At 45.1% G+C, this 24688-nt stretch overlaps 2 long non-coding RNA genes across 2 annotated transcripts in view, besides 8 other annotated features; both read right to left on the reverse strand.

The window, feature by feature from the left end:
- Positions 4128–4267: an enhancer, noted in NCBI's record as "active region_21513". NCBI's record gives its function as "activates an Ori minimal core promoter by ATAC-STARR-seq in GM12878 lymphoblastoid cells {active_cell/tissue: GM12878}" and the evidence as "EXISTENCE:reporter gene assay evidence [ECO:0000049][PMID:35858748]".
- Positions 5084–5585: an enhancer, noted in NCBI's record as "H3K4me1 hESC enhancer chr4:42287227-42287728 (GRCh37/hg19 assembly coordinates)". NCBI's record gives its function as "activates a minimal SCP1, AML or CMV promoter by ChIP-STARR-seq in primed H9 embryonic stem cells {active_cell/tissue: H9 hESC(primed)}" and the evidence as "EXISTENCE:reporter gene assay evidence [ECO:0000049][PMID:30033119]".
- Positions 5697–12516, reverse strand: LOC124900697 (uncharacterized). The gene is made up of 2 exons (XR_007058106.1): positions 11981–12516; positions 5697–6275 (listed from the first exon to the last, which is right to left on the reverse strand). It is a non-coding gene; the product is annotated as an uncharacterized LOC124900697 (long non-coding RNA).
- Positions 13704–14643: an enhancer, noted in NCBI's record as "OCT4-NANOG-H3K27ac hESC enhancer chr4:42295847-42296786 (GRCh37/hg19 assembly coordinates)". NCBI's record gives its function as "activates a minimal SCP1, AML or CMV promoter by ChIP-STARR-seq in naive and primed H9 embryonic stem cells {active_cell/tissue: H9 hESC(naive and primed)}" and the evidence as "EXISTENCE:reporter gene assay evidence [ECO:0000049][PMID:30033119]".
- Positions 14644–15583: an enhancer, noted in NCBI's record as "OCT4-NANOG-H3K27ac hESC enhancer chr4:42296787-42297726 (GRCh37/hg19 assembly coordinates)". NCBI's record gives its function as "activates a minimal SCP1, AML or CMV promoter by ChIP-STARR-seq in primed H9 embryonic stem cells {active_cell/tissue: H9 hESC(primed)}" and the evidence as "EXISTENCE:reporter gene assay evidence [ECO:0000049][PMID:30033119]".
- Positions 16214–16363: an enhancer, noted in NCBI's record as "active region_21514". NCBI's record gives its function as "activates an Ori minimal core promoter by ATAC-STARR-seq in GM12878 lymphoblastoid cells {active_cell/tissue: GM12878}" and the evidence as "EXISTENCE:reporter gene assay evidence [ECO:0000049][PMID:35858748]".
- LOC105374428 (uncharacterized) overlaps positions 18886–24688 on the reverse strand; it is a 92257-nt gene continuing 86454 nt past the window's right edge. The window contains exon 2 of the long non-coding RNA NR_134668.1: positions 18886–19185. This is a non-coding gene — a long non-coding RNA (uncharacterized LOC105374428). The remainder of the gene's footprint in view (positions 19186–24688) is intronic.
- Positions 22259–22791: an enhancer, noted in NCBI's record as "H3K27ac hESC enhancer chr4:42304402-42304934 (GRCh37/hg19 assembly coordinates)". NCBI's record gives its function as "activates a minimal SCP1, AML or CMV promoter by ChIP-STARR-seq in naive and primed H9 embryonic stem cells {active_cell/tissue: H9 hESC(naive and primed)}" and the evidence as "EXISTENCE:reporter gene assay evidence [ECO:0000049][PMID:30033119]".
- Positions 22286–22580: an enhancer, noted in NCBI's record as "tiled region #13490; HepG2 Activating DNase unmatched - State 12:CtcfO, and K562 Activating DNase matched - State 13:Ctcf". NCBI's record gives its function as "activates a minimal TATA promoter and a strong SV40 promoter by Sharpr-MPRA in HepG2 and K562 cells {active_cell/tissue: HepG2 | K562}" and the evidence as "EXISTENCE:reporter gene assay evidence [ECO:0000049][PMID:27701403]".
- Positions 22326–22375: an enhancer, noted in NCBI's record as "active region_21515". NCBI's record gives its function as "activates an Ori minimal core promoter by ATAC-STARR-seq in GM12878 lymphoblastoid cells {active_cell/tissue: GM12878}" and the evidence as "EXISTENCE:reporter gene assay evidence [ECO:0000049][PMID:35858748]".

Here is a 24688-nt window from a genome sequence, read left to right on the forward strand (position 1 = left end):
GAATAGCGCAGAGGGAAAGATCCAGACCACAGCTCCTTCCAGTCCGCCTTGCTCTGAATCACGGCTGCTGCCAAATGCAGGACCACAGTTTGCTGACAAAAAAGGGTTCTAGGCAAATGCATAACATTTTAGCATCTTAGGGGGGGCTTAGTAATCCCTGATTAAGAAAATGTCGTCATTACTTGAAAATACCTTTGATCTATCTATCATTACATATATTAAATAAAATTACTGACCTATTAGAAAACCCAGAGTGGTTCTAAATAAATATTTTCATTTTCCAAAGAAGAAAAAAATCAAGTCAGATGCCAGTCTGCAACACTGTGACCCCACATAGCCCAATATGTGCCAATATGTGCCAATATGGTGAAACGAGGAGGAACCATGATTGACTCAGCTAACCTTTCTGCCCCCTAGTGGAATGGGGACTCACTACAGAAATTGAGTTAAGTTAGGGAAACTTCAATTTTTGTAATTATTGACTTATTTATTTTTGAGATAGGGTATTGCTCTGTCGCCCAGGCTGGAGTGCAGTGGTCAAACTCAATTCACTGCAACCTCTGCTTCCTGGGCTCAAGTGATCTTCCCACCTCAACCTCCAGAGTAGCTGGGACTACAGACGTGTACCATCACATTTGGCTCGTTTTAAAATTTTTTGTAGAGGAGGTCTCACTATGCTGCCCAGGCTGGTCTCAAACTGCTGTGCTCAAGTGATCCTCCTGCTTTGGCTTTCCAAAGTCCTGGGATTACCGGCGTGAGCCACCACCTGGCGAGTTAGGGAAACTTTAAAGTTTCGGTTTTAGCGTTTGGGAAGTGAGGAGCGCCTCTGCCCCACCACTGTGCAACCTTGGAAGTGTGAAGTGACAGCCTTGTGTGTGATCTTTTCTGTTTTCCCCAAGTTTGCATTTTCGACATTAAAGTTTACTTTTTAATAAAAAAAAAGTTTTGGTTTTAGGTTTGTGGATGGGGATCTGTACCCTGAAGCAGCATTGACCCCAGGTTTTTCTGCCTCCCCAAACTGCTCATTTCACTGCACCCGGAGGAAGCGGCACTGTTAAATCAAGAAGTCAACATAATTTTAGCAACTGTTATCTCCGTATTATCTAGATGCCTAATATATATTTTTTAAATTGCACTGTTCAAACCCATTTAATTCAAGGTTCATTTTCCCCACTCATTTCCACTCAATTTAATGAGATTTTACTCAGTATTACATTAAGGCAAATCATCAGGGATCCAGGGATCTCTTTTCAAATATTTTCAGTGTCTTAAACAAAAAAGGCACTCTGTAAGTAAAAAATCACGAAGACATGAATGACTTCAAGATAAGGCATACTTCCAGTCATCCCATACATGAGAGCTTCTCACATATGAATCATTCATCTATTTGAAGTGAGTTTTCACACTTCGGGATAACCCAGTTGTTCTCAACCCTCATCATCATACTTGCAAAAAAGAAAGAGTTCAAAGGGCATTTATAGCAAGATTTTGCAGGTGTATGACCCCTGACCTCATAACGACTGAAGCAAAATTTCCAGGAGTTCGTCAGCCTTCATTTTAAGAAGTTACATGACTTGCCTGGGGTCACGTGGCTTGCTGGTGGCCTGAATGGTACTGACTGGACTTTTGCTGTGGTTTGTGAAACCTCAGGGGAAGGGCAGTGAGGATGTTTTGTGGTAGTTTCAGAGATTCACCTTCCCGGCAATAATGGTTCTCACTAGCACAGAACTGTCGGTTTGTGAGGTCTTTTTCTGGTTGAATTCTTCCAGGGTGACTGAGCTGTCGTCTGCCCTGGGGGCTACTCAGCAAGAAATGCATCTTCTCAATGGTTAATAATGTTCATTAAACTTCATCCTGCCCAGCTCTGACTCTGAACAGCAGCACTGGCTTTCGCTCTGACTTGCAAACCAATGCATCTGCTTCTCGCAGAAAATGTACTTAAACGCTGCATATATATCCTGAGAAATTGATGCTTTCCAGAATTCAGCCCGGACAAGAGCAGCCCTAGTTGGCCCTTTTCACCGTGTGTAGATGTGAAAGAGAGAAAATTCCTCTAGAGGGCGCTCGTAGATTCTTCATGAATGGAGTGCTGGTGAAATGCAGTTCTCCACAAATGGCGCAGACTGCACGGGAGCGAAAGGGGATTTATATAAATAGATGGATGTGGATATGCAATTTTTTTCATCTGCAAATAATGCCTCTTTGTTTTTCTTTCTGATCAGCATCAGTGAAAATCATGCACATGTGGGAAAGTGAAATATGGAGGATTTCTTTTTGTTTCCTTTGTGAATGAATAGTGAACCCTCACCTCTAGGGGAGTTTGCTGTAGTTCACTGCAGTGTCATATTTATAATTATCAGGAGAAGGAGGGAAATTAAAAGATTTGACTGCTTTACTCTTCAGCGGTTGAGCTGTCGGCCCTGGGGACATGCCGGGAACTTCATGTTCTGGCTGAGCTCTGTGGAAATCCTGGGGAATGGCTATTTGACCTCTCATTCAGCCACCTGAGGAAATCAGCTTTGGTTAGATCAGATGGACCATAATTGGCTTTGGAGTTGTTAAAGCACACTCTGGGTACACATTTCTCTATGTTTTGAAAAGCGTGTGTTTTCCTTGGATCAGATCAGCATGTAGGGGAGTCAATCACAGCTTGGGTGGGTGGTTGGACTAGAATGCTGTTTCCCAAGACCTGCTCTGCCTCTCAGCCTCCCCCAGTGACAGGGTGCCTGCCTGGCCCCGCTGGGCCCTTCTCTTCCTCCCCTTCCTCCCCTTCCTCCCCTTCCAGCCCAGGATTAGGGAGAGAGGGCTGAGTCTGCAACCTCAGCTTCCTGGGCTCAGGAGATCTTCCCACCTCAACCTCTCGAGTAGCTGGTATAATTTGCAAGGGAGGCATGGGTTTGGGTGATTTTAAGGGTTCTTTTCTTTTCCTTTTTTGAGACAGAGTCTCGCTCTGTCGCCCAGGCTGGAGCGCTATGGCGCGGTCTCGGCTCACTGCAAGCTCCGCCTCCTGGGTTCACGTCATTCTCCTGCCTCAGCCTCCCGAGTAGCTGGGACTACAGGCGCCCGCCACCACGCCCGGCTAATTTTTTGTATTTTTAGTAGAGACGGTTTAACCATGTTAGTCAGGATGGTCTTGATCTACTGACCTCGTGATCCGCCTGCCTCGGTCTCCCAAAGTGCTGGGATTACAGAGGTGAGCCACCGTGCCTGGCCTTAAGGGTTCTTTTCAACCCTTAGGTTCTATGACTCCATGAACGTGTGGATTCTGAAGTGAGAAGAACATAAATATGAATCAGTGTGACTTCAGCCTTGTAAATGGTATAACTGCTTTCCCTGCCTCTAGTCATGCCCCTCCCCAGATCATTCGCCAGCACCAGGATGATCCTTTACAAATGTGCATTGGATTATGGTTTTCTTTTCTGCTAAAAACTCTTCAGTGGCTCCACATTGCCCTTCATGAAAATGTCCAAACTCCTTAGCACACACAACTTACAAGGCTTGTTACAGTCTGTCCTACAACCTCAGCCCTTCCTCCTGGATGACAGGCAGCTCTCCAATGCACACACTCTGTCTCTCTCATTTCCAGGCCCATGCTGCCCCTTATGCCTAGAACACAGCCTCTGGGCTGACTTGCACACTCCTTGCCTGGCTGATGTTTTTCATCCTTTAGGTCTCGGCATAGGTGCTTCTTCCTCTGAGAAGCCTTACCCAACTCTTAAAGACTGAACGAGGTGCCCCTTCTTATGTTATCTTAGCATTCTGTTCTATCCTTAGCCCTGGAGACACAGAGTTTGTTCTTAGAAGCTGAAAGGCGTCCACGAGGATGTCTGGTAGTGCTGTCTGAATGTTCAAGTCCATTGAGAATGAAGTTCAGAAAGTTTTTAATCTACCTGAGAACCCAAACTGCCCATCCGGACGCTCAACCTTGTTAAATCAAGTTTAGTCTAAAGCTGCCTCCTTACATATTTTAAGTTAGGTCTAAAGGTTTCTCTGTACATTATGAACTGTAACAAGTGAAAGTGTAAACAGACCAGAGCCTACACATGTGCCAATCACCCGAGTTTTGGCCAGTCAAATGTAGCTAACTGTTTGAACCTGTTCAAATAAGGCAAATACTGAGCTGTAACCAATCCGGCTGTTTCTGTTCCTCACTTCCGTTTTCTGTACATCACTTTCCTTTTTCTGTCCATAAATCTTCTCCAACATGTGGCTGTGCTGGAGTCTCTGAGCCTAATTGTTCATTGCTCAATTAAACTCCTTTAAATTTAATTCCACTGAAGTTTTTCTTTTATCAGGCAGAACACCAATCCTGGAACCTATTAAATTATCCTAAATTTGGCCTAAGACCACCTCCCATACCTTGAGTATCACTAAGTAATAAACTGCAACCTAACTTAGTATGTAAACAAATGAAAATCCAATGAGGAGTATATTTTATAGCAAATAGCTGGGTGTCCAGCTTCTGCCAATCACAGGCTGCCATCTGAAAGACCACGTCCAAATTAAGCAAACGCCAGGATGTAACCAATCCAGCTGTTTGTGTACCTCACTTCCATTTTTCTGTCTATAAATATTCCCTGCAAAGTGCCCGCTTTGCAGAGGGGGGCTCTCCTAACCTCTTCTGCTTCTGAGGACTGCATGATTTGCGAATCCTTTGCTCAAATAAACTCTATTAAATTTAATCTGTTTAAAGTTTTTCTTTTAATAATCCTCTTCTCTTCTTTTCTTCTCTTTTTTCTAGACAGAGTCTTGCTTTGCTGCCCAGGCTGGAGTGCAGTGGTGCTGGCATGCTCTAGCTCACTGCAACTGCAACCTCCGCCTCCCAGGTTCAAGCGATTCTTGTGCCTCGGCCTCCTGAGTAGCTGGGATTACAGGCAGCACCACCAGGCCTGGCTAATTTTTGTGATTTTTAGTAGAGATGGGGGTTTCACCATGTTGGCCAGGCTGGTCTTGAACCCCTGACCCCAAGTAATCTGCCTGCCTCAGCCTCCCTAAGTGCTGGGATTAGAGGCATGAGCCACTGCACCCAGCCATACAATCCACAGCTTTCTGTCTACATTAGCAGAACTTTGCACCACTCTTCTGTCTTCATTAGCATGACTTTATTTTCCCAGAACCTGCCTATCGAGGCAAATGGATTGATTGTTCGTTACAGGAACTTGCAAAAGACTCTTCCAAACTCTTCAGTGGAAAGCATCAACAGACAATTTGTGCCCTAAATCTCTGAATCCTTTGCTTCCAAATTCTTGCCTTGCTGTTTCCACCAATTCTGGACTGTTCTATTGTTACTGGGGTGTCTCTGTTTTTAGAGCTTCCAAGATGGTGGCAAGCTTCTTGTTCTCTGACCGGGGGTTCTTGGCCTCACGGATTCCAATGAATGGAACCTTGGGCCATGTGGTGAGTGTTATAGCTCTATTAGGAGCCGTGGGTCACGGAAGAGAACTGTGGAACCCAGCTACTAGCGTTCAGCTCGATTAGGACGAACCCTGGGCTCTTAGCCATGCAGGAACAATGGCAAGCCTTTAGCCTGATTGGGAGCAGCAATGGGTGGCTCGCTGGGTCAGGAGCACAGCGGACACCCTGCCAGATCTGCAGAGGTGGAAGTCAGTGGTGGGTCTGCGATGGCGGCAAACAGCAGTGGTGGACAGCGAGCGAAAGCTCAGCTCGAGCCATAACAAACATAGACCAGAAGAGTGTGCAGTTGCAAGATTTAATAGAATGAAAACAGAGCTCCCATACAATGGGAGGGGACGCAATGGGGGTTGCCGTTGCCGGCCCGAATGCCTGGGTTTATATCCCGATCATTGTCCCTCCCCACTGTGCTCTCAGGCGATAGATGATTGGCTATTTCTTTACCTCTTGTTTTTGCCTAATTAGCATTTTAGTGAGCTCTCTTTACTACCTGATTGGTCGGGTGTGAGCTAAGTTGCAAGCCCCGTGTTTAAAGGTGGATGCGGTCACCTTCCCAACTAGGCTTAGGGATTCTTAGTTGGCCTAGGAAATCCAGCTAGTCCTGTCTCTCAGTCCCCCCTCTCAACAGGAAAACCCACATACTATTGGGGATGTTAGCCAACGACTGCTCTTAACTGCTTCCTGCTGAATTGGGGCTTAGTAGGGGTCGTGCAGTTGAGATTTCCTCGGAAGGTGTGCCTTTGATGTCATCAACATCGGAGCATGGGCTAACAGGCCGGTCTAGGGCTCTGTGGTAGATCTTAGTCATGGACTGCATCTGGGGCTCCATATGAGGAACCATTTGCAGTTTTACAGCTTTGAGTCTGGAAGAGACAAACAACAGGAGGTTAAAGATACAGGGATTGAAATGTATGGCTTGAAGTGCAGGGGATTATTTCTTTGGCACATTTCACAGGCCCTGACTATCTGCTTGATAGTTTTGAAAAGGCCTGGTCCAGTAAATAATAAATTGGCCATCTGATAGATGCTATCCATGCCCAAGTGAAAGGTTTGGTGAAGGGTTTTAAGTAATTTCCATTGATTAGCTGCAGGCAAAAGTATTTTCCCTTTTTCGGTGGCTAGCCATCCTGAGGGGAGGAAACTATGTCCTCGTGTCTATTTCTCCTGCTGAGTACTGGGGCTTGGTTTCCCGGAGGGGATTACCCCATACTAGGGATCCTTCTATAAGCATTTCTAATGGAGGGCCTGCCTTGTGGCTCTTTTGGCTTCAATATCCACTTGGTGGTTCCTTTCTATTTCCTTTTCCTTTCCTTTCTGATGACCCCAGCAGTGTAAGACTGCCACCTCTTTAGGTTTCTGTACAGCCAATAATAATCTCCTAATGGCTTCCTGATGTTTGATCGGTGTTCCCTCAGAAGTTAGGAATTTCCTATCTCTCCATATTGCTGTGTGGGCGTGGAGGACTGGGTAAGCATACTTAGAGTCTGCATATATATTTACCCTTTTTCCTTCTCCTAATTCTAGTGCCTGAGTGAGGGCTATTAGTTCTGCCAGCTGAGCACTAGTTCCTGGAGTGAAGGAATTACTTTCAAGTATTCCATTATCACTGACCACTGCATACCCCACCTTTCAAAGTCCTTTTTCTACAAAGGAGCTTCCATCAGTATACAAGTTGAGGTTGGGATCAGTCAAGGGAACCTCTAGAAGGTCCCCTCGAGCGCCGTAGGTTTGAGCAATCACCTGTTGACAGTTATGTTCTATCTTTTCTTCATTGTCTGAAAGAAATGTGGCTGGGTTAAGAGTTGAACAAGTGGGCAGTCGCAGCACTGGCCCTTCAAGTAATAGAGCCTGATATTTAAGTAAACGGTTGTCTGACAGCCACAAGTCTCCTTTAGAAGTGAGTACGCCGTTTACATCATGAGATGTCCACACAGTAAGATCTCTTCCCTGTATTATTTTAACTGCTTCAGATACTAAGACTGCTACTGCCGCCACTACCTGTAAACAATGAGGTCAACCCTTTGCAACTACATCAATTTCCTTACTCAGGTATGCCACAGGTTGCAAGCTCATCCCTTGGACCTGTCTAAGGACTCCTAGAGCTATTCCTGTTTTTTCTGTGACATATAAAGAAAAGTCTTCCCCGTTGGCAAGCTTAACACTGGGGCTTGGGTTAGGGCCTTCTTTAGGGCCTGGAAAGCTGCTTCTGCTTCAGGTGTCCATCTTAATAAATGGGTGTTGGCTTTCTGAGTTTCCTTAATTAGGGTATATAATGGCCTGGCTATTTCACCGTACCTGGGAATCCACATTTGGCAGAAACCTGTTATGCCAAGGAACCCTCTTAGTTGCTTTAGGGTTTTGGGATGAGGATAAGCCAATACAGGCTGGATACATTCCTCACTGAGGGCCCTGGTGCCTTTGGATAATTTTAGCCCTAAGTATTTAACCTGCTGTGAGCAGAGCTGAGCCTTTGGTTTGGAAACCTTGTAGCCACAGGTGGCGAGGAAATTTAAGAGCACTTGGGTGGCTTGATGGCACAAGGTTTCTGAACGGGCAGCTAAAAATAAATCATCCATGTACCAGAGGACAAGAGTGTCCAGGTAGGAGAACTGGCTCGGCTAATGCTTGGCCAACTAGATGGGGGCTATCCCTGAACCCTTGGGGTAAAACAGTCAAGCTGAGTTGAGACATTGGGTTCGAAGGATCTCCAAAGGCAAACAAGAATTGAGAGTCAGGATGTACAGGGATGCAGAAAAAGCCATCCTTAAGGTCCAGGACTGTAAACCACTCTGCTTCTTCTGGTATTTGGGAAAGCAGAGTATAAGGGTTAGGAACAACAGCCTCATTGATAATCCTGAGATCTTGCACTAACCTCCACTGTCTGTTGGTTTTCTGTACTCCTAAAATTGGAGTATTGCAGGGGCTACTGCATGGTTTTGCTAGGCTTTGAGCTTTTAGGTCCTTAACAATCTTTTGGAGTCCTTGTTGGGCCTCGGGTCTAAGGGGGTACTGCCTTTGGTAGGGAAAGGAGGCATAATCCTTTAGTTTAACTTGAACAGGACAGGCATTTGTTGCTCATCTGTATTGTCCTTCTGTTGTCCAGACTTCAGGATTAATTCCTTCTTCAAGCAGGGGACAACAAACAGGTGTTCCTTCTCCTATGTTCAGGTGTATAATGGCCCCTGCTTTTGCTAGAATGTCTTTCCCTAACAAAGGAGTGGGGCTTTCAGGCATAATTAGAAAAACATGTGAAAAGAGTAGAGTTCCCCAGTCACAACTTAGTGGCTGGGAGAAGTATCTAGTGGCTGGCTGTCGTAGAAACCCTCGGATAGTGACAGATCTGGAGGACAGTTGTCCGGGACAGGAGAGTAAGACTGAGAAGGCCACGCCAGTGTCCAGGAGATAGTTAACCTCCTGACCCTCAATGGTCAAGCATACCCAGGGCTCTGTGAGGGTGATGGCATAGGCTGGCGCTTGCCCTGGGCACCCTGAGTCCTGGGGCTGAATCATCTGGTTAGTGGCTTCTGACTCAGAGGACCTTCATCCCCTGGGGCAGTAGGCCTTCCAGTGATTCCCTTGACATAAGGAGCATGGACGAGGGGGTGGCTTATTTCTATTTGGACAATCTTTTTTAAAGTGTCCTTGTAGACCACACTGGAAGCAAGTCTTATTAGGCATTCGATTTGCCCAGCTTTTCCCTTTTCCAGAGTGTCCAAAGTCTGCTTGCCTGAGGGCCATGACTAAAGTGGTGGCCTTTTTTTAAAATCTCATTTGTCCATTCCACCTGATCCTCCTGATCTCTATCATAAAAAACTGAGGTTGCCAAGTTCAATAGGGTTTCTAAGTTTTGCTCCCGGCCTAACGCAGACTTTTGAAGTTTTTTTCTAATGTCTGCAGCTGACTGAGTGGAAAACTTATCCTTTAAGATTAGTTGGCCTTCAATAGAGTCAGGTGACAGAGAGGTATGCTTTCTCAATGCCTCCCTTAGTCTCTCCAGAAAGGCAGTAGGATTTTCTTCCTTTCCCTGTGTTATAGTGGACATCATTGAATAATTCATAGGCTTCTTCCTAGTTTTCCTTAGTGCTTCTAGCGCGCAAGTTAGTAAATGTCTGCGGCACCAATCTCCATGTTCTGATTCTGTGTCCCAATGAAGGTCTACGCTGGGAACTGCCTGCTGGCCTGTGGGGAATTGTTTTCTTTCTTCTGTTGTCATCCTATCATTGACCTGACTGAGATACCAGAGATCATCAAACTCTCTGGCTGCAGTTATGGTGGCACTTCTTTCATTTGGGATTAGTGTCTGATCTAGCAGTAACAGTATATCTCTCCATGTTAGATCAAAGGATTGTCCTAACCCTTGTAAAGCATCAATATAGCCATCAGGGCTATCTGATAATTTACCTAGGTTTGCTTCAAGTCTGACAGGGAAAAAAGATACATACACTCTGGGCCGAATTCTCCAGAATATATCTTATGGGCGTTTTTGCCTTGGGGGGAATGTTTCCCATCTGAAAAAAAAACATAGGGATGCCAGCACCCCTAGTCATTTTCCAATGAGCATTAGTCTTAGAGTGTCCTCTGTGGTCCTAATGCTTATTCCTTTCCAGGGTGCGTAACCACCCATGGACTTCTGCTTATCAGATTAGTTACGCTCACTGATGTAGCAGTCCTGCACCCCTTTTCCCGCCTTTCTTGATCACAAAGAAAGGGGTCTGGGCTGCTGGATTCTAGTGGTCCTTTACTGGTGTGCCTAACATTGCCTTTGCACTCAGAGGTGAGTTCCTTTCCAGGGTGCTTAACCACTCATGGAACTCTGCTTATCGGATTTGTTATGCTCTCTGATGTAGCAGTCCTGCACCTGTTTTCCCGCCTTTCTTGACCACAAAGAAAGGGGTCCAGGCTCCTGGATTCTAGTGGTCCTTTACCAGCATGGCCAACATTGCCTTTGCGCTCAGAGGTGAATTCTAGACCTGGGCTGGGTTCCTGAGTATTTCATAACAACCCAGCTGCCCCATCAAGATGCATTCCCATAAACAACAGTTCTTATGCAAATTCATGTCAGAGATGGTGTAGGTAACATTTTGAGTCAGGATTGAGATAGAGTCTTTTTGATTCTGTAAGTACTTTAAGGCTTGGCTGAGTGCAAACAGCTCGCACATTTGAGCAGACCAATTATTAGGCAATTTTCCTAACTCTCCTTCCACAAGAGTCTCCCTATCAATTACTGAACACCCATTGTGGTTTTTCACCCCCTCAATCACCCAGGAGGAACCATCTATCATCCTGTCCTAAAGGGAGTTCCTGCTGGGTCTGGTCGGACCTTTGTATGGTAATGAAGATTTAAATCCCATTAGGAAACCTGCTGGGTTAAGGGAATTTTCAGTGGTTAATGTTAAATCACCTTTTTCTAACAGAATAACCCCATACTTTAAGATTTTTGAGTTAGTAAGCTACCTTTTTGCTTTTTTGACTTAGAATAATTCTGAACTGGTGAGGTGTGCTCACAATGAGGTTTTCTCTAAAAGTTACTTTTCTACTTTCTTCTGTTAGCAAAGCAGTTGCTGCTACAGATTGAATGCATTTGGGCCATCCATGGGTTCCTGGGTTAAGGATTTTTGATAGGAAGGCTATGGGTTGTCAGTGGTCTCAGTGTTTTCGGGCTACACCCTTGTTTACACTGAAAACAAGGTGGTATTGGAGTGTTATAGGGTCATGGAGAAGACCTTCAATTATCAATTATAGGTTTTAAATTTACCCTGGCTTTTAAAGGAATGGGGCATACTTTTTTTCTTTACTAGTTCTATCTTTCTCTTTCTATCTCTCTTTGACTCCCTCTTTGTCTCTCTCTCTTTCTCTCCCCTCTGCCTCTCTCTCTCTTTCTCTCTTTTTTCTTCTAGCCCTTTGAAAACTTGGGGCCCTGGCAAGGGTGGTAGGGAATGGGTCCCACATAACTGTCCATGTTGAGAGCTGTATGCCTAAATGGGGAGAGATAACAGGGAGAAGACTCTCTGGGTTCATAGCCTAGGGGCCTAAGGACACAGCATAGATCCCTTCCTTAGATCCCTCTGGAGATAGAACTTGCTAGAGGAAATGAAAGTCTGAACCATTAGTACCTAGGAAGCAGGGATGAGAAGAAGTAGATTTAGAGGTAAAGAGAATTTAGGGGCTACACTTTCAAGAAAGTCATGGTTGGGACCCGGGAGGTATGGGTTAGAAGGAAAGGTAGGGGTGCACGCATGGGTGACTGTTGAGTAGAGACTTCTGGCTGCGCCACGATCTCAACTGTCTAATGCCAGGAGTTCGGGATGACAGCTTTCTGCCTCTAGTCAGCCCTTGGATTCCCCAGGAAAATTGAAAGTGGAAGCTGGTTCCAGGCAGACCAAAGCTCCCAACCCGGAAGGGTTGGGGGTTGTTAGAAAGCCCTTTCCCAGACAGCCTCACACCAGAGTCTTAAGTCTGGCGGCCACGCTAATCGTTCTTAACTGGCCGACAGGTGCCCGGTATTTTCCTCCAATTCTAAGGAAGGTTAGGACAGAATAGCAAGCGGAAGTGGTTCAATATTACTCACTGCTTTGGAGGTCCCTTCGTGGTCACCAAAATGTTACTGGGGGGTCCTTGTTCTTAGAGCTCCCAAAATGGTGGCGGGCTGCTTCCAAGATGGTGGCAAGCTTCTTGTTCTCTGACCGGGGGTTCTTGGCCTCACAGATTCCAAGGAATGGAATGTTGGGCCATGCAGTGAGTGTTATAGCTCTATTAGAAGCTGTGGGTCACGGAAGAGAACTGTGGAACCCAGCGACTAGTGTTCAGCTCAATTAGCACGAACCCGGGCACTTAGCCATGCAGGAACAATGGCAAGCCTTTAGCCTGATTGGGAGCAGCAGTGGGTGCCTGGCTGGATCAGGAGCGCAGCAGACACCCTGCCAGATCCGCAGGGGTGGGAGTCAGCAAGGGGTCTGCGACGGCAGCAAACAGCAGTGGTGGACAGCCAGCAAAAGCTCAGCTCAAGCCATAACAAACACAGACCAGAAGAGTGTGCAGTTGCAAGATTTAATAGAGTGAAAACAGAGCTCCCATACAATGAGAGGAGACCCAAAGGGAGTTGCCGTTGCCAGCTCGAATTCCTGGGTTTATATCCCAATCATTGTCCCTCCCCGTGTGGTGTCAGGCAATAGATGATTGGCTATTTCTTTACCTCCTGTTTTTGCCTAATTAGCATTTTAGTGAGCTCTCTTTACTACCTGATTGGTCAGGTGTGAGCTAAGTTGCAAGCCCGTGTTTAAAGGTGGATGCGATCACCTTCCCAGCTAGGCTTAGGGATTCTTAGTTGGCCTAGGAAATCTAACTAGTCCTGTTTCTCAGTATCATGATACTTACCCAAATTTTTACCTATGTTACCGACCTTGGAGATACTGCTAAACTTTGCAAGGTGGCATTCTCCCTTAGCGTAAATTCAGCTTTGTCTAACAGGTTGTGTTAGTGATGTTGGGGAGCCGGCTTCTGACGCGCTCAGTAGTCAGGAGAGCCGGGTGCTTCTGTCAGAGGCGTTTGAACCAGAGCAACATCATCCTGAATAGGAGCTGGGTAAAATGGGGCTGAGACCTCCTGGGCTGCATTATCAGACGTTTAAGGCATTCTAAGTCACAGGATGAGATAGTGGTCAGCACAAGATACAGGTCATAAAGACCTTGCTGTTAAAACAGGTTGCAGTAAAGAAGCTGGCCAAATCCCACCAAAATTAAGGTGGCCACAAGAGTGACCTCCGGTTGTCCTTATTGCTACACTCCCACCAGCACCACAATTTATAAATATCATGGCAATGTCAGGAAGTTACTCTATATGGTCTAAAAAGGGGAGACATAAATAATCCACCCCTTGTTTAGCATATCATCAAGAAATAACCATAAAAATGGGCAACCAGTAGCCCTCAGGGCTGCTCTATGAGTAACCATTCTTTTATTCCTTTATTTTCCTAATAAACTTGCTTTCACTTTACTCTATGGACTCACTCTGAATTCTTTCTGGCATGAGATCCAAGAACCCTCTCTTTGGAGTCTGGATCTGGACCCCTTTCCTGTAACACTTCCTCCTTAAGAAAGTATGATGAACTTTATTGAACTTCTGGAGAGCAGTTTGCCTGGATTTGGGTGTTTGAATTCTGAATTCAAACTTTACTCACCCACTCACCTGGCCCATGTCTTTTTCCAGTGTTTCAGTCAGGGATCATTAAGAAGGGACATGGGTTCATCTAACTAGCTTTATTGAAAATATGAAAGGGAATCTCTTGAAAACTAAAGTCAGTCAAGAAGTACATCCAGGCCTCAAGGAACCTGGAAAGTTACTAAACAGCTATTCAGACCATATCTTGCTCCCTAAGACCATGTGGCCTTTGGGTTTTGCTTTTCTTTGTACATCTATTCCACGCTTCCTCCACTTTGTTTTGGTTCCAGGGTAGCTGCTCATAGCTTTATCTTGCCATGATGCTGACTTTGTCCCTCACTCTACTTGGCATTGTGGGACCAGTATCTACCAATAGCTGGCTCTAATCTCCACATGTTTGGATCATACTCATGAGAACCCCTGATTAATCACTGACCAGCCAGTAGTGAAGGCTGGAGTCCAGGCTGGCTGGAGAGGGATTTGTTTCGATGCTATCTGTACAGGGGTTTTGGTCACCTGCAGTTTTCCCCTCCCAGCAAGGGCTCCAGGAGGGAGCAGACTGTGAAGGTTTTATGGTTTGGACAGTCAAACTTGCTGATGTAACAGAGATTCTACTTGTTGAAATGTATGAATGTCCTTGAATAGGGCCTTCTCATATTCAGCCAGAAGCATCTTAGCAGGATTCCAAAAAGAAAGACTCAGTCTTCAGTGTTGACTTTAAAACAGGTTTTTGAATTCCATAATGAAACAATAGTCTTGAAATCCAGGCTTTGTGAAAAGAAAATAAGGATTTATAAATTACAAAAGCCTCTTTTACATGTCAAGAGCAGAAGGGGAATGCATTTGAATTGGTGATCTGAACAGAGTGTTTTATGAGAAACCAAAGATAGAGACTCAGGGTATGCAGTAAGAAAAGTCCCTTCCAGCCTTGTGGGGGTAGGGGACAGGCAAGGAATACGAGAAAAGTGAGAGAACTAGAAAAGCTACAGATTCCATGGGAAGGAATCTGTGCTCCCCAGGGGAGGAGGAGATGAGCAAGGGGTGGTGAATAAAGTACAGATGGGTGTGTGGCATCCTACTGTGGCAGGGCTTAGCTCTTGTTTCTGAGGGATAATTTGGGAAATTGTCAGCCCCTTAAGAGTAGCCCTGAATTTAGCCTGGAGCTGGAACTTCATGGAGCCCTCGAGGGGTAATTTGAAAATGTCTAAGTGAGGTACTCAGGTGATGGGCCTGAGAAACCAGGGAATGTGTGCAGGGTATCCATAAGTTCTTAGATGCTGCTGTAGAGGGATGAAGAAGAGTCTGGGGTCAGAATGGGTCTGCAGCAGTTGGGGCCACACCATACTCAAGATAACCAGGTGGGACCAGCTATACCTCAGTGAGGACCCATGCAGGACCTGCAGGGACAAGAGTAGACCAGCCACACGACATCAGGGACCTGCAGAGACCATGGCCATTATGAAGATGTATGAGCTTTTCCCTTGTACCCAAGGGGGACCTTTTGGAGAAGAGAAATAGCCTTGAGAAGGAATTTGATAGTTGAACCAAGTGAACTTCTTTTTTTTTTTTTTTTTTTTGAGACAGAGTTTTGCTCTTGTTGTGCAGGCTGGAGTGCAATGGGCACGATCTCGGCTCACTGCAACCTCCACCTCCCAGGTTCAAGCAATTCTCCTGCCTCAGCCTCCCAAGTAGCTGGGATTACAGGCGCCTGCCACCAAGCCCAGCTAATTTTTTGTATTTTTAGTAAAGACGGAGTTTCACTCTGTTGGCCAGGCTGGTCTCGAACTCCTGACCTCAGGCGATCCACCCGCCTTGGCCTCCCAAAGTGTTGGGATTACAGGCATGAGCCACTGCACCCAGCCTGAACCAAGTGAACATTTACTCAGAGGAGACTGAGTTAGACCCAAAGGGTCTGTTTTAAATTAGAAGAAATTGAATTATCTTTAGTTTTCAAGTTTAAGTTTCTTTTCCACCGTCCACAGGAGTGGGACTTAAGAATGTGATGTGAACAGTTAGGGTGACAAAATACCCCTCCCCTTTTTTTGCACATCTGAACCATTGTGTTCACTGTGCTTTTATCATAGTATTGGGTCTACTAAGCCCACACCATTCCACCCATCATTTAAAAATATATGGCCAGGCGCAGTGGCTCACGCCTGTAATCCCAGCACTTTGGGAGGCCGAGGTGGGCAGATCACGAGGTAAGGAGATCGAGACCATCCTGGCTAACACAATGAAGCCCCGTCTCTGCTAAAAATACAATTAGCCGGGCGTGGTGACGGGCGCCTGTAGTCCCAGCTACTTGGGAGGCTGAGGCAGGAGAATGGCGTGAACCCGGGGTGCAGAGCTTGCAGTGAGCCAAGATCGCGCCACTGCACTCCAGCCTGGCGACAAAGCGAGACTCCTTCTAAAAAAAAAAATATATATATATATATATAAATATAATATATACATATGTATATGCACGCATACACATATGTATATACAAAACAAGGTAGCCAAGGAGTGTATACTTTGACTTACTTGTTCAATCAATATTTGTTGAACAAGTACTATTAAGTGGGCTCTAGTGGTATAGCGTGGAACAAGACCGGCATGATCTCTTCCCTAAGCAGTGGTTAGTCTTTGGGATAAGGGAGGCAGGTCATGTTTCTGTCCAGATGAAGATTTGTCATTGTTCATTGCACTCTGTGGCCGCTTGGAGGTATTTCCTGCCCACATCATATAAGAAGTTAGTACAATTTGTGTATTGGGCAATGTGGTCAGGTGCTGAGTTAAAATTCATTCTAGTTTGAATTCATTCTCTTTCTGTAAAGTTTCCCAGTGCCTATGGCTTTCTGAACCATTTCAACATATATTCATGATTGATCATCATTTGTCTAGCAAATGTTTATTCTGCACCAGTTTATAGGTTCTCTATTAGTTGCCAAAGATTCCGAGATAGATAGATGAAGACCTTTCAATCTGCTGACTGTTTACTGGTGGAATATGAATAAATCAATAAACATGAGGAGGGAATGAAGCTAACTCGGCCTGAGTTTGTGCAGACAAGGCAGGTCTGCCAGTTATGTTGCACAGGGTGTGCACTGCACACGGTGTCAGGCCAGAAGGGCAGAAACCTAGCTCATGGGCCCTGGCATAGGGCTGCATACATCCAGGGGAAACATTGCATTTCTGTTTACACAAGGTGCCATTTGCTCACCAGGCACTGAGGCTCTCCATCCATTGGACTAGCCAGAGGAAGTAACATTTCCTCATTTGCAAAAGAGTGCTGTGAAATCTGACAAGCATTCATAAGAGAAAATGGGATGGTTGAACTGAGTTTAAAAGAAATTGGTCAAAAGGACCACGCACAGGTGGCTCATGCCTGTAATCCTAGCACTTTGTGAGGCCGAGGTGGAAGGATTGATTGAGCCCAGGAATTAGAGACCAACCTGGGCAACACAATGAGACCTTGTCTCTCCAGAAAAATTTAAAAATTAGCCAGGCATGGTGGTGCATGCCTGTAGTCCCAGCTACTTGGGTGGCTGAGACAGGAGGATTGCTTGAGCCCGGGAGGTCAACACTCCAGTGAGCTAAGATCGTGCCACTGCACTCCAGCCTGGGTGACAGAGACCCTGTCTCAAAAAAAAAAAAAAAGAAAGAAAAGAAAAGAAATTGGCCAGACTGGGCATGGTGGCTCACACCTGTAATCCCAGCACTTTGGGAGGCTGAGGCAGGTGGATCACCTGAGGTCGGGAGTTCAAGACCAGCCTGACCAACATGGAGAAACCCTGTCTCTACTAAAAATACAAAAATTAGCCAGGCGTGGTGGTGCATGCCTGTAATCCCAGCTACTTGGGAGGCTGAGGCAGGAGAATCGCTTGAACCCAGGAGGTGGAGGTTGCAGCACGCCAAGATTGCACCATTGCACTCCAGCCTGGGCAAAGAGAGCAAAACTCCATTTCAAAAAAAAAAAAAAAAGAAAGAAAATTGACCATAAGGGCTGGGTGCAGTGTCTCATTCCTGTAATCCCAGCACGTTGGGATGCCAAGGTGGGAGGATCTCTTGAGGGCGAGAGTTTGAGGTCAGCCTGGGCAACATCATTAGACCCCGTCTCTACTAAAATAATAATAATAATAATAACAATAATAATAATAAAGAAATCGACCAAAAAAGACAGAGGTTTTGGAGAGTTTTCTAGGTAAAAGGAAGAGTGTGAGTGGATGTACTGTGGAGGGAGAAGATGGTGAATTTGGAGAAGAATAAGCAGTTTGCAAAAGAGACTGTCCAGGAACATGCTGGGAGATTAGCCCACAAGGATGGTCAGAGGCCAATCATGAGGGGGCAGATGTGCTGAGAAATTGGCCATTTGTCCTGTAGCTCTGGGGAACCTTTGGAGATTTAAATGTAAACTCTAAATCAATACATTTAGCATGGATTCACCCTTCCTGGCCTGCAGCCCTTCTCTCCCCCACTGGCATCTCTATTTTTCTGACCTCTCATTTTCTTTCCTGCCTTGGCCACACGCTTTGGGATTTAACTATAGTCTGCCTTTTCACTATGTATCCATCTGCTGTGAAATCTTCCTCTCCCTTTATCTCTTACCAGATGTAAAGCTCTGTGACAGCAAAGATTGTGCCTTGTACTCCTAAAAAATATCTCACTGGGCAACAATTCTAAAGTGTGGCATATGCACCATCTGTGATAAGTGAGGTGATTTTAAGTAGCACACAACAAATATTTTTCTTTTTATATATTCACAGTATTATATGTTTTACAAATATATTTAATATATTTATTTTAATGTGTAATAAGAAAAAAATACAAGTTAACCAAATCTGTGATTTTACTCATGTGTTTATTTAGGATGAACTTTTTATTTTTTATTTTTTTTTAGATGGAGACTTGCTGTGTTGCCCAGGCTGGAGTACAGTGGTGCGATCTTGGCTCACTGCAACCTCCACCTCCCAGGTTCAAGTGATCCTCCTACCTCAGCCTCCTGAGTAGCTGGGATTACAGGTGCATGCCACCATGCTTGGCTGATTTTTGTGTTTTTAGTAAAGACGAGGTTTTACCATGTTGGCTAGGCTGGTGTCAAACTCCTGAGCTCAAGTGATCCACCTGCCTTGGCCTCCCAAAGTGCTAGGATCACAGGCGTGAGCCACCACACCCAGCCAGGATGAAGCTTAAACAGGGTTTAAGTTAAAGAATTAGTTGACTTAGAGAAAAGAATACTCGTGGCCCACAGAATAGAAAAAATTGCATACTAGGTATGCAAATGACTAAAATTTGACATCTTGCATAGGCTTAACAAATAACAGTTGGGAAATTGACTTGATTTTAATTAGTTTATTTTACATGTTCAGGATGTTTTGCCTAAAAGGTAATAGTATAAATCTTGGAAGGAAGCAAGAAGGAATTAAGGGATAAAAGAAAGGAGAGAGAGAAAGAAAAGAGTTGGGAGAGAACAAGTGCCAGTCTTGGGCCTTGCAGTCTGAGGTTTCCATGCTGCTGGATTGGGATATGAGATGAGCTCATAGTTCTGTGTTTCAAGACTCTGAGCCCATCACAAGCAGATCATCAGGTGTCCAGGAAGAGGTTGGGGTTCCATATCCTCACAGATGAGAAGATTACCTGGGTAGGAGGCAGAATTGTATCATCATCTGGTTGTCTTCCCAGAGTCTAGCTTTGTTTTGATATCTTTTTGTCTTCAATGCTTGCTGGGAAAAAAAACTTTTCCTCTCCTATACTGTTGCAATTCTGGTCACCAAAATGTATGTGCTTTCCCTCCACACCATGCAATTCTCCACTTTGTGGAAGACACTGACTGAATTGTCATACAATGTAACTCAATTTGATGCTATTGGCTGGGCATGGTGGCTCATATCCGTAATCCCAGCAGTTCAGGAGGCTGAGGCAGGAGAATTGCTTAAACCTGGGTGTTCAAGAACAGCCTGGGCAACATAGCAAGATCCTGTTTCTACAAAAATTTTTTTAAAAATTAGCCAGGTGTGATGATGTGCACTTGTGGTCCCAGCTACTTGGGAGGCTAAGGTGGCAGAATCGCTTCAACCTGGGGACTTGAGGCTGCAGTGAGCTATGATGGTGCCAGTGCACTCCAGCCTGGGTGACAGAGCAAGACCCTGGCTCAAAAAAAAAAAAAAAAGGAACCAAGAGAAAGGATGCTATCCACCTAGAAATAGTGTCAGATCCCACAGGTTAGGGGCTCAGTCCCACAAGACTGCCCTCACTTCAGACACAAGTCCAAGTTGTTACCTGTGCTTCTTTCTTTCTTTCCTTCCTTCCTTCCTCCCCCTCCCTCCCTCCATCCCTCCCTTCCTTCCTTCCTTCCTCCCCTCCCTCTTTCTTTCTTTTCTTTCTTTCTTTCTTTCTTGCTTTCTTTCTTTTTCTTTCTTTTCTCCTTCCCTCCCTCCCTCCCTTCCTTCCTTTCTTCCTCCCCTCCCTCCTCTTTCTTTCTCCCTCTTTCTTTCTTTCTTTCTTTCTTCTTTCTTTTCCTTCCTTCCTTCCTTCCTTTCTGTCTCTCTCTCTTTCTTTTTTGAGACAGAGTCTCACTCTGTTGCCCAGGCTGGAGTGCAATGGCACAATCTCGGCTCACTGTAACCTCCACCTTCCTGGTTCAAGCAGTTCTCCTTCCTCAGCCTCCCAAGTAGCTGGGATTACAGGCACATGCCACCACGCCAGGCTAATTTTTGTATTTTTAGTAGAGACAGGGTTTCACCATATTGGCCAGGCTGGTCTCTTGGCCAGGCTGGTCTCAAACTCCTGACCTCGTGAATCACCTGCCTCGGCCTCCCAAAGTGCTGGGATTACAGATGTGAGCCACGGTGCCTGGACTGTTACCTGTGTTTCTGACATACTTGCTATAAATCAGGGATCCCCATGACCCCCTCCTAAGTTTTAATCATTTGCTGCCACTGCTCACAGAACTCAGGAAAGTGATTGACTTAGTATTACCCATTTATTATAAAAGGATATGTAGGGGAGTTTTAAATTTTCCTCTATTCTCTGAAGGTTTGATAAGTTGAATCTATGAAAATCAACTGACAATAGACAAATGAACAGGAGAAAAGGCACGCAAATTTATAACATGCATATGCATGGGAGAATCTCAAAGTATGAGATTCAAAAAAGGGCAAGATACTTGAAGCTTAAATAACAGCTTGAACTACAGAAAGAAATCGAAGCTTGGAGGTTCCTGGAGGGTGGTGGTGAAAAACTATTGGACGGTGAGGGGAGAGACTGCATTTTGAATAAAGATTGTCTCATTGTGCAGATAAAATCTCTCAGGTAGCTGCCCTCAGAAGAACAGGTGAAAAGTCTGTCCAGGCGTGGTGTCTTGGGAGATGAGTCCTCTAGTCTCCTGCTGTGTGAATTAATCTTCTCTGGTTAATGTAGAGATCAGGGAGGAGGTTCACGGCAACCACATTCATTCTGGAGGAACTTCCCTTAGTCAGAGACGGAAAATTGCAGAGAAAACACCTCCCTGTGCTTCAAGAGGGCCTCGGGAGGGAAGGAGGGGTGAGAGGCAGGGGATCAGGAGGTCAGAGAGATTCTCCTGTAGTTCAAAGCACTCAGCATGCCAAAACACCATACTTTGGGGCATTGTTTTGTGAGCCCCAACAGATACATCTCAGGACCAGCCAGATGGAAGAGATGAATGGGACAAGTTACAGGGGTAGGGGCACAGCTCTCCCATGCCCTCTCTGGATGCACCACCCTCCACCACCTCCACATGTTCAGCAACCTGTAATTTCTCAGAATCCTGTACTTTTGGGTTTTTATAGAGGCTTCATCACTTAGACATGATTGGTTAAATCACTGGCCATTGGTGATCATCTCAACCTTTAGCTACTCTCTCCTCCTCCGAGGTCTGGGGATGGGGTTGAAAGTTCCAGCCCTCTAATCACATGGTTGATTCCTATCCAACCAGCCCCCATCCCGAAGGAATCCAGGAGCTCCCAGCCATCAGTCTTCTCCTTAGCACACAAATAAACCCTTATTTCTTCCCAGATTCCAAGGGTTTTAGGAGCTGTGTGCCAGGAAAGAGAGAAAGACCAATATATATATATTTCTTATTATATCGCAACATCACAGTGTCTCTTATTATCCCCTGCCCCACAGCACCCGCCCCCCCCTACCCCAACACACACACACACATCCTTCTCAAGGTCATGATCATTCAGGGAGCAAAAGCACCGAGACGAGAGGTTTAACCCCAACTGAAACCAGAACATGTTCACTTCAATGGGTTTCCTCTGGAAGAAGTTCATATTTTAAAGTTTTTAATGTCTGTTTACCCCATTAAACACTTGGTCTTTGGTTAAAGGAATTTTAGGTAATAGTTCAGAGGTGGGAGATATTTGGGAGTTTTGAGAGAAGCAGGACTTAACCTTTGGCTTTGACATCATAGTCAGTATAGGATGACCTGAAGGATAAACACGTTTTGAAGGTCTAGGATGCCCAACAATGATGTCACCCCAGCCTTTTGATTCTCTCCCTTGGTTCCCATGTCCACAAATACAAAGGGTCCTAGGCCCATTTTCACGTGACCTTTTGGGTCAGTCAGACCACACAGGAGACACCTGGCACTCTCAGAGGGTCTAATGGAAAAGGGTTTAGTGACGAGGTTATTTACTGAGAGGAGTGGGGGTATGAAGCTCTCCAGGTTTAGCCACAGTGGGGCTACTGCTTTCCTAGGCCTGAAGAAGCTGAGGTGGGGGATGATGTTACAGAATTGGGAAGGCAGAAGCTGTGGTCATATTAGAATGCAGCCACTGCCAAGATGTGGCCAGGCCGGGAGAAAACAGAGGGCTCAGCACTCCAATGTCTTTTTCTTCCTGTCCTTTGATTTCCCGCCGGTGCCACCCAGTGGTCAAATAAAAATGGAAGCCAAAGACCAGGCAGGCTGGGTGATGCAATCCACAGAGAAGGGGAGAGGAAGAGAAGGGTGGGGAATTGACCTGACAGGCGAAGAGAATAACTGGCTGTCTACTCTCCTCCCATCCAGTTCCTGGAGACCCCCAGCCCCATTCCCTGCTTGAAAATCATGACGCTCGCAGAAAGTCAGATTTGCAGGATATTAAAAAAAGAAAGATAGAAAATAAAGGACACTTTTATACTTTATGCTCTGTAGATTTCAGTGACATTTTTGCACCTTTTGTTTATCTCAAAACAACTTTGTGAAATACATATTATGGAACTAAGTAGGTAAGTGTGTCTTGCTCAAATCACAATGAATGGAATCAGGACTTGACTTGACCCTCATGTCTCTAAGCTTTTCTCTTTCTTTTAGACGAGTGTCTTTCACTGGTCTCAAAGCCTTGGTGAGCCTTGAACCAATTCCGTGGATTATGACCCGCATTTGGAAAATAATGAAATAGAATTGAAGGGAACAGATTGGATGTCACAGTGTATTACCCATAATACAGGTTAATATTGTTTCTTGAAACTTTAACACATATAAATGTGTGTATGTGCTTTTGTGTATTAGGCTGTGATGTACTATATCACAACTATACACATAAAAAATACAACAGGTATTTCTTCCTAAGGTTTCTGTTAAAGAAAGTCCAGGCCAGGCAGAGTGGCTCACGCCTGTAATCCCAGCACTTTGGGAGGCCGAGGCGGGTGGATCTATTGATGTCAGGAGTTCGAGACCAGCCTGGATAACATGGCAAAACCCCGTCTCTACTAAAAATACAAAAAGATTAGCCGGGCATGGTGGCGGGTACCTGTAATCCCAGCTACTCGGGAAGCTGAGGCAGGAGAATCGCTTGAACCCGGGAGGCGGAGATTGCGGTGAGCCAAGATCACACCACTGCACTACAGCCTGGGTGATGAGTGCAGAGTGAGACTCCATCTCCAAAAAAAAAAAAAATAATAAGTCTGAAAGCATTATGTTAGACCACCTTCTCTTTTCACTCTGTTTATTCTTTCATTCATTTCTTCATTCATTCTCATTTATTGAACATCTTTTATGTGCCAGATCCTGAACTCAAACATCGCCAGATTTTGAATTCGGTATCATCATCTCACGCATTTGTTCAGTGCAAATTCTTTCTCCATTCTCCTTACACGCCCTGCTTCACCACTTTCACTTTCCTAAACAATCCATGCCTTCTTTCATCTTGGGGACCTTTGCAAAACTCCACCTATCCTTTTCCCCTCTCTCTGTGAGCTAATTCCTAGTCATCCTTCAGCTATAGAATCCTGCCTCTATCCTCAAAATCTGGCTTTGGTTCTTGAGGCAATTTTTAAATTGGGCTGCAAGTTATTTGACACTCACTCCAAAGAGGTAGAAACTATGTCACGTCTCCTTGATGTGTACTCATGACTACTTCAACCAATAAAGTATGGTGGAAGTGAAATGGTGTGACTTCCAAAGCCAGGTCATCAAAGGTCATGCAGCTTCCACCTTATTTGCTGGAATGCTCACTTTTGGAGCCCTGAGCTGCTGTGTAAGAAATCCAAATACCCAAGGCCACCATGGTAGAGAGGCCATATGTAAGTGCTCTAGGGGACAATTCCAATTAGATCCAGCATTCCAGCCATCTCTGCCAGGGAGCAAGACATGTAACTGGGTTATCTTGTACTCTCCAGACCAGCCCACCCACAAAATGGATGACACTGAGTGACCCCCATTGATGCCACGGTTAACACAAAAATCACCCAGCTGAACCATGCCTGAATTTGTGACCCACAACATTTATGAGATGTAATAAAATTGTTATTGCTTTAAGCCAGTATGTTCTGGGATGGTATTTTGTGTAGCAATAGATAACTGCAACAATTCTCTCTATGTGCTTCCATAGCATTCTGTTTTGTGAAGTTTATTGCATTGGAGCTTAACTTCTAAGATCTACTTGTCTGTGTTTCCTAACAGAAAATATGAAGCCTGAAATGATATTTTGCTGCCAATTGTATTTCTAATATCTAGCATCGGTTCCACACAAAATATGGACTTAATAATTATTTTTTAAAATTTGGGTTCAATTTTTTTAAATTTTGGGAACAGAGCTTATTACAGGTAAGGTGTTCATATGTTTGTGTCTGCCTGGACCGACTGATCTGATGTAATTATTAATAGAGTCCTCTTTCAGTTTCAAAATGTAAAGGA

The sequence above is a fragment of the Homo sapiens genome, chromosome 4 (genome assembly GCF_000001405.40).
Source record: "Homo sapiens chromosome 4, GRCh38.p14 Primary Assembly".
NCBI lineage: Eukaryota > Metazoa > Chordata > Mammalia > Primates > Hominidae > Homo > Homo sapiens.